At 37.1% G+C, this 20,857-nt stretch overlaps 1 protein-coding gene and 1 non-coding gene across 8 annotated transcripts in view; one reads left to right on the top strand and one right to left on the bottom strand.

The window, feature by feature from the left end:
- Positions 1 to 20,857, top strand: part of INTS7 (integrator complex subunit 7) — a 95,155-nt gene that overhangs the window by 8,288 nt on the left and 66,010 nt on the right. For 5 of the 7 annotated variants that reach the window (XM_047417179.1, NM_001199811.2, NM_001199812.2 and 2 more), the window contains exons 2-7: positions 6,058 to 6,187; positions 7,002 to 7,148; positions 10,247 to 10,384; positions 15,849 to 15,895; positions 19,821 to 20,020; positions 20,509 to 20,631. In XM_047417179.1, the coding sequence (XP_047273135.1) occupies positions 6,058 to 6,187; positions 7,002 to 7,148; positions 10,247 to 10,384; positions 15,849 to 15,895; positions 19,821 to 20,020; positions 20,509 to 20,631 (785 nt within the window). Of the gene's footprint in view, positions 1 to 6,057; positions 6,188 to 6,515; positions 6,550 to 7,001; positions 7,149 to 10,246; positions 10,385 to 15,848; positions 15,896 to 19,820; positions 20,021 to 20,508; positions 20,632 to 20,857 lie in introns of all 7 variants that reach the window. The other 2 variants (NR_037667.2, NM_001199809.2) reach the window with 2 other exon arrangements.
- On the bottom strand, positions 1,588 to 1,709 carry LOC124900448 (small nucleolar RNA SNORA26). The gene has a single exon (XR_007067402.1). It is a non-coding gene; the product is annotated as a small nucleolar RNA SNORA26 (small nucleolar RNA).

Below are 20,857 nucleotides of genomic sequence, written 5' to 3'. Positions count from 1 at the left end.
AAAATTGGCCTAGAGCAAGCAAGATGAGTACCATACTACCCCAACCCAGGGCTGTTGCTAAGTAATAGGCCTTTAAAGCACTTTTTCCTTCTTTTTCACCTTAGCTCCTGTCCTTCGGAGCCAGCCTGAATTCTCACTACCTCTTTCCTAAGGAGGGCTCTTACATCAGAAAATACAGAAGAGGTTTAATATTCTTTAGTTCATTTACCCCGTGGCGTTGTTACAGAGGAATGAGAGTCTATTTTATCTCAGAGAAAAAAGTTTGATGATATTAGATAAATCAAAACATTCTCTCGCTTCATTCAAAATAATCTTTGGTACATTTTAAATCAGCATGTTTAAACAAATCAATATGGTCTTTGGTTCTGTTTTTCAAGGGAAGATAAAACATGATTATATTCTGTCAAGGAGACTACCTGTACATAGGCTGTTTCCTACTATGCCTTTTTCATCTCAGCCAAGGTTAATTCATTACAAACAGAACTTTACCATCCTTTGTATCTAACTCAGCTACTGACAGTGAGAAGAAAATGAAACAATCCAATTACTGTGGATTTTTTCAACCCCTTTGCCAACACATATACGTAAGCACACATCTCTGTTCCTTCTCACCTCCATCCTCAGCTATGTCTTTCCCCTTCTCTGCCCTGTGTGTCCCTTGACCCGTTTTTCATATCAGGCTTTTAGAAAAGTAAGGCTACATGAGCCACACTGCCAGCTACTTAGAATTATCCCTTTTGGCGTTGTGTTTGATAGGAAAAGGATTTCTAGAGCTTCAGAGGCAGTTCTTTGTGTGTGTAAGAGGGTGAAGGGGAGGAGGGAGCAGATGAAGGAGGGATGTGTTCTATCTCAGTTAGAAATGTTAATTAATTTTCCCATAGAAACATTTATTATAAATGGTTATTAGGTTCCAGAGTACTGTGAGTGCCGATAGTGCTATTATTTTCCTATGAGGAAATAATGTTCTAAGTACTGAATAACTAACATGAGTGCATTACGGAACATCACCCATTAGTAAATGATAGAAATTACCTATGCAGTTTTACTTTGTGGTTGTCTTTTGTATGAAACATTGTGGCAACTAGGAAAAGCCTTCAGATTTCCTTTGTCTTTTTGTTTTTTTTGGAGACAGGGTCTCTGTCACCCAGGCTGGAGTGCAGTGGCGTGATATTGGCTCACTGCAACCTCCGCCTCCCGAGTTCAAGCAGTTCTCATGCCTCAGCCTCCCTAGTAGCTGTGATTACAGGTGCCTGCCATCACGCTGGGCTAATTTTTGTATTTAAACGGGGTTTTACCATGTTGCCCAGGCTGGTCTTGAACTCCTGGCCTCAGGTGATCTGCCAGCCTCGGCCTCCCAAAGTGCTGGGATTACAGGCATGAGCCACTGTGCCTGGCCTCCTTTGTTGTTTTTTTTAAGAATAATCAAAGGTTACTGGACAGAGATATTCTAAGATACTTATTCCTGTGAGGACATAATCAGCATTTTGTGACTGGTAAAATACTAAACAGAGACATTTGAAATTGATGCTGTTAAATCCTTACCAAGGTATTCATTCTTAGTGAATTTTTTTTTTTTTTTCCTGGTACAGCTGTGACTCCAGGCAGGATCCAGAGAGGAGTTTTCCAGTCTCTTCTCTGGGTTTTGTAGAGACTTACTTTATCCTTCTATGTTAGCTTCTTAAAGCACCACATCAACCTTAAAAGGGCATAAGAAAGGGCAAATTCTTAATGCATTTTTTAGAAAATTGAATATTAACTCTTTTTTCTTGGTTGGGTTTTTTTTTTAATTTTTTAAATATCAGATTTAGTGAGGTATAATTTGTATCAGATAAAATTCACCAAATGTATGCAGTCATGAAACCATGACCATAGTCAAGACATAGAATATTTCCTTTACCCCAAAAACTTTCCTCATGCCCCTGTGCAGTCAGTTCCCTCTCTCTAGCTCCTGGCTACCACCAATCTGTTTTTTATCCCTATAGTTTTGCCTCTTCCATAATGTCATATAAAATAGAATGATACAGTAAGTTAAGTGTAGTCCTTCAGGTCTGGCTTCTTTCACTCAGCATAATGATTTTGAGATCGTTTTATGTGGTTAAAATAAGGTATGATTTCACAAATCACGCAGTTTATTACCATACAGAAAGAATTTTCCCTGCCTTTTTCACAATGTTTAGAGAGGGAGAATAACAAGAACACATCTCACAGGGAACACGTTTGATAGACAAAGTCCAGAAACCACATGTGAGTGAATACTAGTTTCATTTAGAGTCAAATTAGTAAAGTCTAGTTGCGCATTTAGGATGGAAACAGGCCTCTGTGAATGTAGTCTAATTGAAGTTTGAGGTGTACCTTTCTATGAGATGTTCTCTGGAGAGATGATCAGACCAACAGTGGAGATCCATGATGACAACAAGATTTTCAATGCTAGGAGCCATGTCATCAGGGAGGGAGATTACACTCCATGTTCTTATCACAGCAGAAAATTTCACTCACAATAGCAGACTATGTGTTTGTAATCATTTCAAAGCTGCACAACAGAGATCCACCTTTGTTGTTGTATGCATCAGTAACTGGTTCCTTTTTTATTGCTGAGTAGTAGTTCATTGTATGGATATACCACAATTTGTTTATTCATCCACTAGTTGATTAACATATGTGTTTCCAGTTTGGGGCTATTAATGAATAAAGCTGCTGTGAATATTTGCATACAGATGTTTGTGTGGACATATGTTTTCATTTCATTTGGATAAATAGCTGAAAGTAGTATTGCTATGTATATAGTATGTTTACCTGCATTAAGAAAGACCAAACAAAAAATAAAATGCCTAGGAATACATCTAACCAAGGAGGTGAAAGATCTCTACAACGAGAACTACAAAACACTACCAAAAGGAATCTTAGGTGACACAAATGGAAAAACATTCCATGCTCATGGATTGGAAGAATCAATATCATTAAAATGGCCAAACTGCCCAAAGCAATCTACAGAGTGCTATTACTATCAAACTATCAACATCATTTTTCACAGAATTAGAAAAAAAAAACTCTTCTAAAATTCATATGGAACCAAAAAAGAGCGTAAATAGCCAAACCAATCCTAAGCAAACTAACAAAACTGAAGGCATCACATTACCCAATTTCAAACTATTTTGTAAGGCCACAGTAACCAAAACAGCATGGTACTGGTACACACACAGTCACATAGACAGCAGAATAGAGAACCCAGAGATAAAGCTGCACACCTGCAGCCATCTGATCTTCAACAAAGTCGATAAAAATAAGCAATGGGAAAAGGACTCCCTATGCAATAAATGGTACAGGGATAGCTGGCTAGCCCTATGCAGAAGAATGAAACTGGACCCCTACCTTTCACCATATACAAAAATTAAGGTGGATTAAATATTCAAATGTAAGACCTCAAACTCTAAGAATCCTAGAAGAAAATCAGCATTGGGAAAGAATTTGTGACTAAATCCTCAAAAGCAATTGCAACAAAACCAAAAATGGACAAGTGGGACCTAATTAAGCAGAAGAGCATCTGCACAGCAAAAGAAACTATCAACAGAGTAAACAGCCTACAGAATGGGAGAAAATATTTGCAAACTATGCATGTGACAAAGGTGTAATATCTAGAGTCTATAAGGAACTTAATTCAACAAGCAAAAACCAAATAACCCTATTAAAAAGTGGGCAAAGGACATGAAAAAGCATTCTCAAAAGAAGACATACAAGCAGTCAACAAACATGAAAAAAATGCTCAGCTTCAGTAATCATCAGAGAAATGTAAATTAAAACCATAGTAAGATACCATCTCACACCAGTCAAAATGGCTATTATTGAAAAGTCAAAAAATAACATGCTGTGAGGCTGTGAAGAAAAGGGAATGCTTATATATACACTGTTGGTGGGAATATAAATTAGTTCAGCCAGTGTAGAAAGCAGTTTGGAGATTTCTCAAAGAACTTAGAACTGCCATTCAACCCAGTAATCCCATTACTGGATATATACACAAAGGAAAATAAATCATTCTGCCCAAAAGACACATGTACTCATATGTTTATCCCAGCACTGTTAACAATAGCAAAGATGTGGAATCAACCTAGATGCCTGTCAGTCATGGATTGGATAAAGAAAACATGGTACATATATACCATGGAATACTATGCAGCCATAAAAAAGAATGAAAACATGTCTTTTGCAGCAACATGGATGCAGCTGGAGGCCATTACCCTAAGCAGATTAATGTAGGAACAGAAAACCAAATACTGTAGGTTCTCACTTATAAGTGGGAGCTAAGCATTGGGTACACATGGACATAAAGAGAGGAACAGTAGACACTGGGGACTTTTAAAAGTAGGGAGGAAGGGAGGGAGAGGGGAAGAGTTGAAAAACTGCTTATTGGGTACTATGCTCACTACCTGGGTAATGGGATCATGCGTACCCCAGACTTCAGCATCTCACAGTATACCCATTAGCAAACTTGCACATGTACCCCCTGAATCTAAAATAAAAGAAAAATGAAAAGTAAAGGAAAGAGCCAGAGGGTTGTCAAAAGAGCTGTACAGTTTTACATTCCCACTAACAAGGTATGAGAGTTATAGTTATCCCATATCCTCATTAGCACTTGACATTGTTGGTCTTTTTAAAGTTTTTGCCATTCTAGTGAATGTGTAATGGTATCTTAGTGGAGTTTTAAATTGTCATTTCCCTGATGACACTGTTGAGCATCTGTTCATGTGCTTATATTTGCCATACATATTTCTTCCTCAATGAAATTTCTCTTCAATTCTTGTCCATTTAAAAAGTTGGTTTGTATTATGGAATTACAACAACTGTGGATGAAGTCCTTTATCACATATGTGTTTTGTAAATGTTTTCTTTCAGCATGTGGTTGTCTTTTCGTCTTCTTAACAGTGTCTTTTGAAGAGCAGAAGTTTTAAATTTTGATGGAATTTAACTTAGCACTTTTTTATTTTATGGTTTATGCCTTTTGTTTTATCTAAGAATTCTTTGCCTAACCTAAGCTCATAAAAATTGTCTCTATGTCTTCTTCTACATAGTTTATAATTTTAGCTCTTACACTGAGGTCTGTGGTTCATTTTGAGTTAATTTTTGTGTATGATGCAAGTTAAGGGTGGAGGTTGATTCTTGTTGCTTATGCTTATCTAGTTTTTCCAGAATCACGTTTCAAAGATTATTGTTTCCACATTGAATTATGTTGGTACCTGTGTTAGATCATTGATTTGAGAACTTTCTTCTTTCTTGATATAAACCTTCAATGTTATAAATGTTCCTTGAAGCACTACTCTAGTTGCATCCCATAGATTGTGCTTTTATTTTCATTCAGTTCAAAATATTTTTCTAATTTCTTCTTTCAGCTGTGGGTTATTTATTTATTTGTTATTAAAAAATTTTTTTTGAGATGGGGTCTTGCACTGCTGCCCAGGCTGGAGCACCGTGACACAATCACAGCTCACTGCAGCTTCAACTTCCCAGGCTCAAGTGATTCGTCCACCTCAGCCTCCTCAGTAGCTGGGTCCACAGGCACACACAACCACACTTGGATTTTTTTTTTTTTTTTTTTTTAAGAGATGAGGTCTGACTGTGTTGTTCAGGCTGGTCATGAACTCCTGAGCTCAAGCAGTCCTTCTTTTCCCAGCCTTCCAAAGTGTTGAGATTACAAGCATGAGCCACCTATGGGTTAAACGTGCTTTTTTTTTTCTTATTTCTAATTTAATTCCATGTGGTCAGAAAACATACGTTGTATGATTTCAGTCCTTTTAAATGTGTTGAGATTTATTTTATGGCTTTGAATATTCTTAACTCTTACCTTTAAAAAATTTTTTTTCATTATTATGTATCTAAAAGTAGCGATTTCCAGATTACTATTTCAATATACCATTTTTACTTTTAAAAGGGTAATGAATTATACTTTACCTGCTTCTTAAGAATGATTATTTCTTTACTATCTAGTAAATTATATTTGCTATTTTTGCTTTGTAGCCACAAATATGCAAACTGTTCTTCCCTCTCTGTGCTTTTTTTTTTCCATAGGCCTAAGATCTGGCAAACTTGGTGAACAGTGTGAAGCAGTTGTTCGCTTTCCCAGACTTTTTCAGAAGTATCCATTCCCTATTCTTATCAATTCTGCATTCCTAAAGTTAGCTGATGTTTTCAGAGTTGGGTAAGTCTTTTTAAATTCTCGATGTCCTAAAGTACTTTGTTCATATTTCTTGTTTTATATTGTGGTCTTTTTCTTTTTGCCTTTTAGTACTTCCACCTGGTTAGTTACCATTAGTGGACACACATGACTGTGTGCAGCACATCAGTGTGAGATTTAATGACATTTAAAGCAAAATGAAGAGTATAATTTAGACGATACTTATTTCTTTGGAGAACAGAATAAAATTAAGACAACCTTAATATTTTACTGTGTACTTCAGGAAAATCTGTGTCTTTGTACAGATTGTTTTTGAGAAGTTTCTGATTTAATTTAATAATTTATTTTATAGCATGAGATGCATGTCTGTGAAGTACCTGAAACATGTAAGCACTGAATACATGCCTATTTGCTTTTTCTCCCCCGACCATTCCATCTTCTGCTGCTTTCTGCCATTCTCCATGCACTCGTGCTCATATGCACACAATACCACACTGGAAGGAGAAAAGAAGTTGTGGAATAAGCCCAAGAGAAGAGAAAGACCGTCTGATTTCCTGGCCTTGGTTATAATATAGTTTGAGGAGATTTAGTTCTGCTCTAGGTCTTCTCCTTGTGTCACTGCCATTTTGGTGTCTTGCAGCAAGACTGTAGCATAGCTCACTGCTTATGCTTAATGTCCACCTAAAGTACAAACTTTAACTCTTTTAGTAGTTAAACAAATAATGTTAAGATTGAAAAATATTTGTGTGTTGCTAAAATTTAATATTATTAGTGTTGCTTTGGTTCCTAATTAAATATTACTTTCTAAAGTGACCTAATTTATTTCTGGTTTTTCTAGAAATAATTTCCTGAGGCTATGTGTTCTTAAAGTTACCCAACAAAGTGAGAAACATTTGGAGAAGATTCTAAATGTGGATGAATTTGTGAAGAGAATTTTTTCTGTGATTCATAGTAATGATCCTGTGGCAAGAGCCATCACCCTCCGGTATATACCGTATTATAATAATTCACTATGAGATTATTTGAACTGTAATTATGTACAAAAAAGGCAGTGTATTTACATTTTTCATTTTGAGTATTAGGAGTTGTTTATGTTTTTTTGACTAAGAGTCAAGGCAAAACTGTGATAACTATCCCAGTCTGCAAATGCTTTTTAGTTAACATCTGTGTTAACTGTTTTGGTTATAAATTGTTGCCTAACTTGTGTTTGAAATGCATCTCTATGTAGATAGGTGTTCTGATCAAATAACTTGGTGGATCTCAATATAGCTTAGCCTCAGCACATTTTGAACTTCGTGTTCCTGCCCTTGTACTTAATGTTTTCTGTCAGTTTTCTATATTCTTCCTTGATTATGTGATCATTTTTAATGTGATAAATCATATTTGATTTCATTGGAGAACATCAGATATAACCACTATAGTTTCTTTAGCTTTTTCTTTTCTTTCTTGGCATATTTAAAAAAATTTATTTGTTAGAATTTCATTTTGTAAGCCTTATATCCAGCTTGAACCATATTCTCTTTTTAGCTCTGCCATTTATAGTATCATATCTATAACTTTTTATATCTTTTGAAATTCACTTTCCTAAATTATAGTGTTCATTTCTGACCTAGCCTGCCCAGACAGTCTTCTTTTTAACCAGGAAGTTTGGGATGTCACATCTTCCCTGAGTGTCGTTTTTTCCATATCAGGAATCAGTTCTTCCTTCTTGTTCAGAATTTAGTGCTTTTGTCATTTCTTTGCCTTTTGAGTGATTAAATTGTGAGTAATATGTGATATTTTAAAGTCAGTTCATTGATTTTCATCTTTTGAAAGCTATATTCAATCGAATTAATTAATTAATTAATTTATTTATTGAGATGGAGTCTTGCTCTGTCACCCAGGCTGGAGGGCAGTGGCGTGATCTTGGCTCACTGCAACCTCTGTCTCCTGGGTTCAGGCAATTCTCCTGCCTCAGCCTCCCGAGTAGCTGGGATTGTAGGTGCCCGCCACCACACTCAACTATCTTTTTTTACTTTTAGTAGAGACAGCATTTCACCATGTTGGCCAGGCTGGTCTCGAACTCCTGACCTCAGGTGATCTGCCCGCTTCGGCCTCCCATATTGTTGGGATTACAGGCGTGAGCCACTGCACCTGTCCCAGAATTTAAATTTAAGGTATTTTTACCCTTTACTTCAGCAAATATACCTATAGGAATTTTTTAAATGAATCATTTTTAAAAGTTGGTGAATATATGTATATAGATGATTATAGTATCATTTTTGTAGAATGAAAAATTGGGGAAAAATCGACATGGGAATAGCTATTGGTGAACTACTGTATAACTTTTAAAGAGTAAAGTGAGTTGTGAGTCTATATATACTGACATAGAAAGATATTGTTTTAAAAAGTAGTCAAATAGTATCCATTTTGTTAACTCATTTTGCTAGTTGATATTAATATATATGTTTATATAGGCTCAGAAAAAAATCTAGAGGAATATATACTGTTAACAGTGATTATTTTTGGTAGAGTCTTTGGGTTGTAGATTACAAGAGGCTTTTCCATTTGGCTTTTTTTGGTAATGTTTGAATTGGTTTTCACAAACATGGTTTTTTTTTTTTAATCAAAAGATAATAGAAAAGAATAGAATTTAACTGGTGGAATGAATTTCATAAATAATTTAGAGCTAGCCTGAATATTTTGATAAGAATGTAGATTAATATTTGAATGTTAATCATTTTCCATGCTTGCCCTTCTCTAAGTCATGGCAATTGACTTTTGCCTCAATTCTTTTTTTAAGCACTGTGGTTATCAATAAAGCCAGCGATCTCTAGAAAGCTTCCAAAAAGAAGGATCACTTTAAAGGAAAAAAAAATTAGATTGAAATCAGATTTTTCTACAGTAACACTTGATGCAATAAGTATTAAAGGAAAATTGAGCCAAGAATTTTATATCTAATCCAGTTTTCATTTAAAAGAGTAGTAAAATAAAAAGATTCTCAGGCACACAAGGCCTTAGGAGGTTTGCCATATAGGACCTGTTTTGTAAACATTCTAGAAGGAGGTACTCAAGTAGGAAGAGAAAAATTAAGCCGGAAGCAGTGGGAATAAGTCATTAAATGTGTCAGTATTAGCCTAGTCTAATCTTTTCTGGTATAATAGATTAATAGTCATTTGTTATTTCTTTTGAAAGATGTATAATTCCAAAACCTTCAAATTAAATATAAATTACATATTTAGTCCATTTTAGTTTCTTGCTACTAACAGTATTACTTATTTTTAACAGTACTAGGAACAGTACTACTTTGAGTGTAATTACAGGGAATAATTAGGTGATTACATGTCACATTGGAAGGTTATTTAGGATGTTGACTTTGAAGAAGGTTGTCATTGTAGGAACATTGTAGGTTTTGTTTACTGCAGTGTTTTGCAAATTTCTAAAATGTATGCCTTTCTGCTGAAAGGATTTTTCAAACTACTTTCTGTAGTTTATACCACAAACAATAGATTTTTTTCCTTTCTAAATGTATGATTTTATTATAAAGTAGACTGTGTTTTCCAAGCTTTACCTTCTGCACCGTTGTTGATTCTGGTGTGAGCCCCAGGGGCGTCCTCAACCACTGCTTTCTTGATCTTGAGGACATTTGAAAATCATCATACCAATATTTACTGATGTGGGAAAAAAAGATTGGGAGCTCTTACTTTTTTTTACTTTGTGTATCTGCTTAACAGCAAAAATGTTGTATTCTTAATGCTTTGCTGAAATGGACTTCTTTATGCAACATTGGAAAATTGATATTTTGATGCTTTAATAATTCAGAAGTTTCCTTCCTGGGCTGTTTGGTACCTGGGAGGTACTTCAAGGTGATTGTTAAAAATTTTGCTTTTTAGATAAGCCATTTTAATTTTTCTGACATATTGAAATATGTAAAAGCGTTTAAAATTTGAGTCATGGATTTCTAAAGTTATGCTTTATTAACTGGAGTTACATAGAATTACCTATAAACTTTAGTTTTGATAATCTGACTTTGCCTTGCCTCTTACTTTTCTGACCTTGACTTTATTTTATGCCCGATCTTCTTGGGTTTCTCTGTTTCTGTAGGATGTTGGGAAGTCTGGCATCAATAATTCCTGAGAGGAAGAATGCTCATCATAGTATTCGTCAGAGTTTAGATTCACATGATAATGTAGAAGTTGAAGCTGCTGTTTTTGCTGCTGCAAACTTCTCTGCACAGTCAAAGTAAGCTTACAAAAGTACATCCCTTTTAGTAATTTGGCTTCCCAAGAAAAATTTTTGAAGGAAAAACTGATCAACTTATATAAACACTGAGAGATACAGGAAAGTGTAAATTACAAGGTGTGTTTTCCAAGAAGGTTTACCTTATGTTGGGGAAACAAGACTTAAATTCATAAAATGGAAAATGTAAGTACAAATGTTGGCATTAATTGTGTAAATGAAATGAGTTTCCAGAAGGACAGGATCAGCATAGATTAGTTGGAGAAGGCTTCATTGGGTAGCAGAAGCTTTGTTGACTGAGGAGCTTCTCCCAGACATATAGATCTGTAATACTAAATTGCTTACTTACTGTCTTCTAATGTTAATTTGTTTTGCATTAGAGCTGTCCACAGTTTGGCAAAGACAATAACTTGAATTAAAACCAATTTTAACCTATTCAGAATGTCATGTCCTACACTGTTGTTTTACAGAACAGTATTTTGTTTTGGGCAGGAGGATTAAATGTTGACCATGGTTTTATTACTATGTTTGATTGGCTTCTCTTCTGTAAAAGAAAATACAGTATCTCCCTGACTGACAGGAAAAGTAGCATTGCCTTCTGGGGTGCATTTTGGTAATATGTATGAAAAGCCTTAAACAAGTACATCCCTTTGACCCAGGAAATTCACTTCTAGAATTTATCCTAAGATAACAGCAATATGTACTGATAATTATTTGTATGGATGCTGGTTGTAGTGTTACTTGTAACAACAAAAGAAATGAGAAGCAACCTAAATTTCTTCCATTGAGCTTAGATAAATTATGATCATACAATAGAATACGGTAACAACTTAAAACCAATGTTTTTAGAAACATATTTGGAAGCAGGTTACATAATAGGTTATGTAATATAACAGGTTTGTTTTAAAAAACCCCAATAGCTTATATAATGTAACAGATTTGTTTAAAAAAAATAAAAGCCGTAATATTTGTATTTATGCAATAGAAAAAAAGACTAGAAGGATATATATCAAAATCTTGGTAAGATGGTATATAATTTTTATTTTCTTTTTATAAATTTCTCTATATCTCTATATCTTGGCATGAGCAAGTTCCAGTTTTATAACCAGGTGAATAATAAATTTTTTGAATCCTGAAAAGTTAACTTTTTTTTTTTTTTTTTTTTTTTTTTTTTTTTTAGTATTTATTGATCATTCTTGGGTGTTTCTCGGAGAGAGGGATTTGGCAGGGTCATAGGACAATAGTGGAGGGAAGGTCAGCAGATAAACATGTGAACAAGGGTCTGTGGTTTTCCTAGGCAGAGGACCCTGCGGCCTTCCTCAGTGTTTGTGTCCCTGGGTACTTGAGATTAGGGAGTGGTGATGACTCTTAACGAGTATGCTGCCTTCAAGCATCTGTTTAACAAAACACATCTTGCACCGCCCTTAATCCATTTAACCCTGAGTGGACATAGCACATGTTTCAGAGAGCAGGGGGTTGGGGGTAAGGTTATAGATTAACAGCATCCCAAGGCAGAAGAATTTTTCTTAGTACAGAACAAAATGGAGTCTCCTATGTCTACTTCTTTCTACACAGACACAGTAACAATCTGATCTTTCTTTCTTTTCCCCACATTTCCCCCTTTTCTATTCGACAAAACCCCCATCGTCGTCATGGCCTGTTCTCAATGAGCTGTTGGGTACACCTCCCAGACGGGGTGGCGGCTGGGCAGAGGGGCTCCTCACTTCCCACACTTCCCGGGCAGGGGCTGCCCCCCACCTCCCTCCCGGACGGGGCGGCTGCCCGGGCGGGGGCCGCCCCCCACCTCCCGGATGGGGCGGCTGCCGGGCGGAGGCGCTCCTCACCTCCCAGATGGGGCGGCTGCCAGGCGGAAGGGCTCCTCACTTCTCAGATGGGGTGGCCGGTTAGAGACGCTCCTCACTTCCCAGACGGGGTGGCGGCCGGGCACAGGCTGCACTTTGGGAGGCCAAGGCAGGCGGCTGGGAGGTGGAGGTTATAGCGAGCGGAGATCACACCACTGCACTCCAGCCTGGGCAAGATTGAGCACTGAGTGAGCGAGACTCCGTCTGCAATCCCGGCACCTCGGGAGGCCCAGGCGGGCAGATCACTCGCGGTCAGGAGCTGGAGACCAGCCCGGCCAACACGGCGAAACCCCGTCTCCACCAAAAAATACAAAAACCAGTCAGGCGTGGCGGCGCACCTGCAATCCCAGGCACTTGGCAGGCTGAGGCAGGAGAATCAGGCAGGGAGGTTGCAGTGAGCCGAGATGGCGGCAGCACAGTCCAGCCTCCGCTCGGCATCAGAGGGAGACCGTGGGGAGAGGGGGAGGGGGAGGGGGAGGGAGAGGATAAATTTTTTTAAAATTTAAAAAATAGTATTTGCATACCCTCCTCTTCAGCTTTTTTTTTTTTTTTTTTTTTTTTGAGATGGAGTTTTGCTCTTGTCATCCAGGCTGGAGTACAGTGGCGCAATCTCGGGTCACAGCAACCTCCATCTCCCAGGTTCAAGTGATTCTTCTGCCTCAGCCTCCGAAGTAGCTGGGATTACAGGCGCCTGCCACCATGCCCAGCTAATTTTTGTATTTTTAGTAAAGATGGGGTTTCAGCACGTTGGCCAGGCTCGTCTTGAACTCCTGACCTCAGGTGATCCACCTGCCTTGGCCTCCCAAAGTGCTGGAATTACAGGCGTGAGCCAGTGTGCCCGGCCCCTTCAGCTATTCTTATCAAACCTTCAGAGTTCCAGGAATTCTTACTGAAAAAGTAGATAATAGAAAGCATATAATTTTTAATTTCACAGATCAAAATTAATAGATGCAGCAGTAATTGATGATCAGAAATACCTGAATAAGTACAGTTCCTATTTGTGCCTTTGAAAATAAGCATTTTTTTCCCTCATTGAGAGAGTCGTTGGTATTGAGAGGACTTTTAAAAATTTCAGTCACACGTCTCTTAACTATGAGGTTACATTCTGAGAAATGCATTGTTAGGAAATTTCATCATTGTGCAAACATTGTAGAGGACTTACACAAATCTAGATGGTATAACCTACTATACACCTAGGTTATATGGTATAGCCTGTTGCCCCAGGCTGTAAACCTGTACAGCATGTTTCTGTACTGAATACTGTAGGCAGTTGGAACACAGTGGTAAGTATATGTATATCTAAACATAGAAAAGGCTCAGTAAAAATATGGCATAAAAGATAAAAATGGTATTCCTGTATAGGGCACTTACCATGAATGGAGCTTGCAGGACTGGAATTTGCTCTGGGTGATCAGTGAGTGAGTGATAAATGAATGTGAAAGCCTAGGACATTACTGTATATTACTGTAGACTTCCTAAACACTGTACACTTAGGCTTCACTAAATTTATTTTTGAAGTTTTTCTTCCTTCAACAATAAATTAACCTTACCTTGCTATAACTTTTTAACTTTGTAAAGTCTTAATTTCTTTTAACTTTTTGACTCTTTTGTAATAACACTTAGCTTAAAATACAAACATACAGCTGTATAAACATACTTTCTTTATATCCTTATTCTATAAGCTTTTTTTGTTAAAATTAAGACATAGCTGGGCACAGTGTCTCACACCTGTAATTCCAGCTATTTGGGAGGCTGAGGCCGGGGTATCACTTGAGCTCAGGAGTTCAAGACCAGCCTAGGCAACATAGTGAGACCCCTCAAAGAAAAGACACAGAGACACATACATTAACCTAGACCTACACAGGGTCAGACATCAAGACATCTCTGGCCAATATGAATTTTTCAGCTCTGTTATAATCTCTTGAGGCCACTGTCAGTATGTAGTGTGTTGTTGACCAAAACGTTGTTATGCTGCACATGACTGTACTTTTATTGATTAGGAGTTGTGCCTAGGGAATAATTACCATCTGATTACCACTGCCAAGGTGTCAGTGCTTCATAGTCTGTCAGATTAAATATATACTTCCAGTGCTTCCAAAAATAGTTTTCTAAATTTAGTTTCTAAATTTAGTTTCTAAATTTGGATGATAAATTTGTAGTTTAGTGATTAAATTTTATATATGAGAATCACTTTTAGTTCAGTTTTTCTCTTGTGTTCTTATTAGAAGCTAATTTTATTTCACTCTGCAAAATTACTGGTTTTGGAAAATGATTAAGACCAAGTAAGAGAAACAGCAAGATTCTTCACTTGTGGAAATGATGATTAAACATCTAAATTAGCAGTTTATGTAGAAACAGTTTTTAATATACCATGCTTCAATATGATGTACTTCTAATTTATTAAAAAATACCAAATGAATCTCTGTCACCTAGGCTGGAATGCAGTGGCGCAATCATGGCTCACTGCAGCCTCGAACTTCTGGACTCAAGTGATCCTCTCACCTCAGCAATCCCAAATTGCTGGGATTACAGGTGTGAGCTACTGTGGCCAGCTGACAAGACTTATATTTTTGATATCAGTGTTCATATCTTCTCCCGGAAATAATGACCTGGCTTGAGATCACATATCTTCGTCAGTACTGATGGATTTTTTTTCTAGTATCTGTATTGATCAGTTTTGGATATTAAATCAGAGTAACAAGCCAAGCCAAATAAGACCTTTAGAATTTATTTAATCCTGTTCTCCGCCCCCTCCCCCCCCAATCTCCTACCATAACCACATTTGTTTTATTCTAAATTGCTAGTCCCTGGGTGGCAAAGCAGGAGTTACAAACTCACACGCTTTCAGGGGCCAGGTGAACATTGTCAGTGAGAGCAGTGTCCCCTAGTGGCAACTGTGGTGAACTGAAGCACGTCCACTCCATCTAAAGTGCCCCATGGCACCAGCCTATTGTTAACAGTGCAGGAATGGATGCCCAGTGCTCAGGTTTTTGGCAAAGGAGAGGGGATAATCTGAAAAACCAAATTATTCTATTTGGGCTCACTATATTTAAATGTTGACATTAAGAATTTTTAAAATGTTATTTTAAAAAGAATTTTAAAAATATTATTACACACAAAAAACCTGCAGTCTCCTAGTTTGAAGTTTCTTAGCCCTAAAGGTCTGTAACAGATTTTTAAATTCTAAGTTGTTATGAGAAGTCTTTATATGGTTATTAAAGAAATACTTACTGAATATCCACCATGTTCAGACACTTTTCTAAGTTCCAGAAATATAGGAGTGAAAAAGGTCAGGCCCTGTTGTTATATAAACACAAAATAATTTCAGATGCTTGTTAGTGTTATGAAAAAATAACACTGTATTGTGGTAATGGCCTAAGTGAGCTGCTTTAGAGCAGTGTTGGCATAGCCCATTTGGTGCTGGAGTTTTTGTTTTAGTTGTGTTTCTTACCACCTCCCCTAACCCGAGCACCTGACCTTGGAATATTAGTTGCAGTTTGGAATATTGTATTTCTTCTGCGCTAATTGTGTTTTATTTCTTTTAAGTCCTTAGAAAATATAAGCAAATGTAAGTTTTTTCTGTTCTCTGTTCTCTTTTTCCAAAGGGATTTTGCTGTAGGAATCTGTAACAAAATCAGTGAAATGATTCAAGGTATGTATTCTTCATTTAGTATTATGAAGTGACTTAATTAGATTTATAATAGTTGCTAACACTAATTAAGTACTTATTATTTGCTAGTCACCATACATTCAAATAATATTTATTAAGTATCTTCTATTTGCCCAAACTGTTCTAAATGCTGAGGATACAGGAATGAGCAAAACAAAGTCCTTACCCCCATCTAACCTACACTCTAGTCAGGGGTGGGGTGTGTGGGGATAGACAAATGTGCCTATGACATTTCTGGTGCTATGGTGAAAAAGTGAGAGAAGAAGGATAGAGAGTCTCAAAAGTAAGTCGTTGGTGGGTTGAGAGAAGGGACTTATCTATTTTATATATATTGATCAGAGAAGGGACTTTTTTGTATATATTGATCAGAGACAGTCTCTGATGAGGTGATACTTGAGTGAGACATGAAGGAGAGAAAGGAGTGAGCCATGCAGATATAGTCTTGCATTGCTTAACAATGGGGATCCTGTGTGAGAAATGGGTCCTTAGGCAGTTTTGTTGTTTGAACTTCATAGAGTGTACTTAAATAAACCTAAATGGTATAGCCAACTGTACACTTAGGCTGTATGGTATAGCCTATTGTTCCTAGGCTCTAAGCCTATACAACATGTAACTGTGCTGAATACCCATAGGCAATTGTAACAAAATGATTTGTATATCTGAGGTAGAAAAGGTAATATATTGCACTGTGGTGTTACAATGACTACAGGGTCTATGAAGTTACTAGGAATTTTTCAGCTCCATTATAATCGTATGGGACCACCGTCTGTCATGTGGTCCATCATTCACCAAAGCATACTTATGGGGGGCATGATTAGTGTAGGGAAGACTGCTCTGTGTGAGAGAGGCTAATATTATTAGGAGCTCTGGAACTCTCTGCTAATGTCCCTCCAGTGTCTTCCAGTTGCATTTAGAATCAAATCCAGATTCCTTACCATAGACTACAAAGCCCTGGTTTTCCAGTCTCTTATACCATAAGTCATGTGTATTAACCCTATTTATCCTTACAACAGTCATTATGGGAGCCCAAGAGCTCCCATAGGGTTAATACACGTGTCATACCCCTATTTATCCTAGCAGTCATAAAAGGGAGCTCTTGGGCTACAGCATTGCCTGACTCTAGAGAACACCACTTTGTTTATATTCTTATAAAGAGCATTCCTTTGAATTGTGCAATGTGGCAGCCTTGGATAGGTAATACCATTATGTTCGTTTTACAGGAAAGGAAATAGAGCCACACTAAAGCTGAATGATTGGTTCACAGTAAAAAAGCTGATAACTTACAGTTTGGCTTTGAGGCCGATGCTTTTAACCACTTATGCTACTGTGCCCTTCTAAGGCATGAATTGCTTAGTGTAGTTATATTTTGCACGCATTTAAATTGTCCTTCAAATTAAAATTAAAGAGAACTTGCTCACTTGCATAAATAATAAAAATCACTTAAAGACCAAGATACAGTGAATGAGCTTTGTTGTGTTCCCCTTTATTCCTTTGTGTTTTTTCTTCCACCATTAGCAAAAGGGCTTTCCTGCAGAAAAGTATCCTTATGACATTAGAAGGAAGCATCACTTATTCATTGAGCAGATTTTATCAGTGCCTGCTGCATCAGACAAGATCTCAGCAGGAAACAGGTGGCACATTTGAATTAAGATAACTCAAGGAAGGTGTAATAAAGGAACCATTCACAAAGGCATGGTCAGGGTGTACTATAGGGGATAATGTAGTTCTTGAACCCGTAATAGCTTTTACCATACCTCTAAGGGTACAGGTTAAAGAGAGGTTACTAGAAAATTGGTATCATGTCAGGAGGACCACTTTGAGAAGCTAACCTCCAGGAGCATGATGTGACCCTGCAGTGAGAGAACCAGGGAATAAATACTCTGACCTCATTCTTCTCTGCAACTCCTGCTGGGCTCTCCATTGGTTAAACCCAAACAAAGGGTAGATAGCAAGGGAGTTGATGAAAGCTATACAGGTGAGCCTTCTAGGATGCTGGAGTATTCTGTGTATCTGATGACAGTTATATGAGAATATACATATGTAGAAATACATTAATCTGTACACTTAAGATTCATTACCTTATTGTTCCTTAAATTTTATCTTAAAAAAATCTGAAAGAACAGGAATTAGCAGGAGAGAGAGGCAGAGGAAAACATAGGAGTGTGGGTGGAGGAAAATTGGAACCTAAGATATGGAAATGAAAGAGGAGTTTTAGGAACAGAATCCTGACATTTGGTTTTAAGCCACTTTTGTTTCTGCCAAGTAAAATCTCCGAGCCTCCCTAAATCTTTAGTAAAGATGCCTGTAAACACAAAGATCCCTCTGAGTACTGGGTTGAGAATAAACTTGCAGTGGAGGAAAGAGGGGGATATAAGAGTGGAGTCTGCCATGGGGAAAGGCCTAAGCAGGGAGAATACTTAGGAGACTTGCAATAATTTAGTCAAGAGATGGTAGTGGAAATGGATCGGCATGGTAACAACGGAGGTAGAAAGAGTCAGTTTGGGTTTTATTTTGAAGTTAGAACCAATAAGATTTGCTAATACATTTGGAAATGGGATGTGATAGAATCCTTTCACTAATAAGAAAGACTCCAGGGTCTAAGAAGCTATAATGATGTGATTTACTGAGACAGGAATATTTTTGGAGGGGCAGTTTCAAGGTTAAGATCAGTTCTCTTTGAGCCTTATTAATACAAAATGCTTCTGAGACCTCCTAGTGCAGATGACCAGAAGATAATGAGATACATGCGTCTGACGTCGGGGCAGGAGGACGGATGGGTGGCAGCCTTTCACATTTAGCCGATAATGGAAACCATGGGATTATATCAGCTCACTCAGGGAAAACACATAGAATGAGAAGAGAATTTATTACCAACCTATGGGAATATCAGAAATTAAAGCGTAGACAGACAAGGAGACTACAAAGGAGATTAAGAAGGAACAGCCAGAGAAAGAGGTCAGAAAACAGTAAAAGTGGAAGAGCCAAAGCCATTAGGAGTGAGTTTCAAAGATAGAATGGTCAGCAGTGTCAAGTGCATTCAGAACCTTAAGGAACAAAGTAATAACATGAGCATGATGTGACCCTGCAGAGAGGAAAGCAGGGAATACTCTGATCTCATTCTTTTCCCTCTGGCAAACCCAAGTAGAGGCCATCTAGCAAGGGAGTTTATTGACGTAGGCAACTGTTGGACGTTGAAATGCTGTCTTACGTTCATACCCACAATTATTTCACCATGGAAAAGCCAGCAATACGCAGAGTATAATTAGCTTGTGGCATGTATGTGGTACATTACGACTGAGAAATTTGTGTTCACCATGACCACAAAGCCATGCCATAGAGAAAAGATTTGTTGGTTTCGCTCCACTGTTGACAGGAAAACGTGGATTAGGGTTAGTCTTCATGGATCCAGTCGTGTATGCAATAAAGAAAGGCATTTACTACACAAAGTTCAGAGGACTTCGAAACCATTCTACACACAGTTTATTCACATCCTGATTATGATTTAGTTGTTGAAGGAAATAATTAAAATCATAAGTATAATCAGACTGTAGCCATCAAGTGTGTGTGTTTGTGTATATATATGTATATGTGTATGTATAATTTTTTTACTATGACAATGAGAGGAAATAGGCAGCAAATATGACTTTGCTTTCTACTGTGCTTTTTAAAGGCAGTTTTTATTATCAGCATGTAGTTTTATAATCATTGAAAAGTTAATGTCAAGATAAATACTTAGGAAAAAATATTGAATTTATCAATTGGTTCTAGTATAATCTTTAATGTTATAAATATATTAGTATACTGTGTTTTTCAAGTGCAATTTTGCTAAATGAGTCACAGCTTTTAAATCTGGAATATTATTAAGGATGGTGATCACAAATACCTTGAGAATTATTTTTGTGTCTAGGTTTAGCGACACCAGTAGACTTGAAGCTAAAATTGATACCCATTCTACAGCACATGCACCATGATGCAATCTTGGCTTCCAGTGCTCGTCAGCTTTTACAACAGCTGGTCACATCCTATCCGTCCACCAAAATGGTGATTGTGTCTTTGCACACTTTCACTCTGCTTGCAGCGTCATCTTTGGTTGATACACCTAAGCAGGTAATTTCAATTTTCTTTAAACTGCCTATCTTTGGTAAACTTACATATTAAATATATGATTAGAAATAAGAAAGTGGCCCACAAGTCTTGAGGACATTAAGGTTCTTTTCTCTAATAAAGGTCAGATTAATTTGCTTTTGCTTGCTTTTTTATTCTCTCTGTTCACAGTACTGATTGTTGGGAGCCCTTGAGGAAAATGAGATGTTATGGAGTACATGGCTGGGTGTGAAGTTGGCCGTATAAAAAAAAAAAAAGAAAGGATTGAGTATCTGTAAAATGCCAGGGCCTGTGCTAAAACTTTAAAGTTAAATGGTAGTATTTTACAAACATGGAGAAAGAGGCCCAAATGTGGGCACATAGCTAGTGAGTGACAGGGCTCTGATTTGAAGTGAGTCCTGTCCCTTTATAAGTTTCACTAAACTACACTGCATTTCTAATGATCATTTCAGTTACAGTATTGTTTATGGAGTGACTTATTTCCTTTATAGATTCAGCTTCTGTTGCAGTATTTGAAGAATGATCCCAGGAAGGCAGTAAAGAGACTTGCTATTCAAGATCTGAAATTACTTGCTAATAAAACACCACATACTTGGAGTAGGGAGAATATTCAGGTATGTAGAACTTGTAACATTTTATATAGAAAAAATAATATAACATTATAATATAGTAAAATGTTTTGCATTTTTATATTGTCTTTGTCATCTTCTAAGTGGTTGAATATGAAAAACTTCTAAAAGCATTGTTGATGTTTGTGGCAGTTATTTTATAAGTGGCACAATAAATACATAAAACTTCTATACTTCAATGTTTGTTTTAGTCAGTGAAACTTGCCACTCA

This window comes from Homo sapiens, chromosome 1 (assembly GCF_000001405.40).
Source record: "Homo sapiens chromosome 1, GRCh38.p14 Primary Assembly".
NCBI lineage: Eukaryota > Metazoa > Chordata > Mammalia > Primates > Hominidae > Homo > Homo sapiens.
This window is presented reverse-complemented; position numbering and strand designations above follow the sequence as displayed.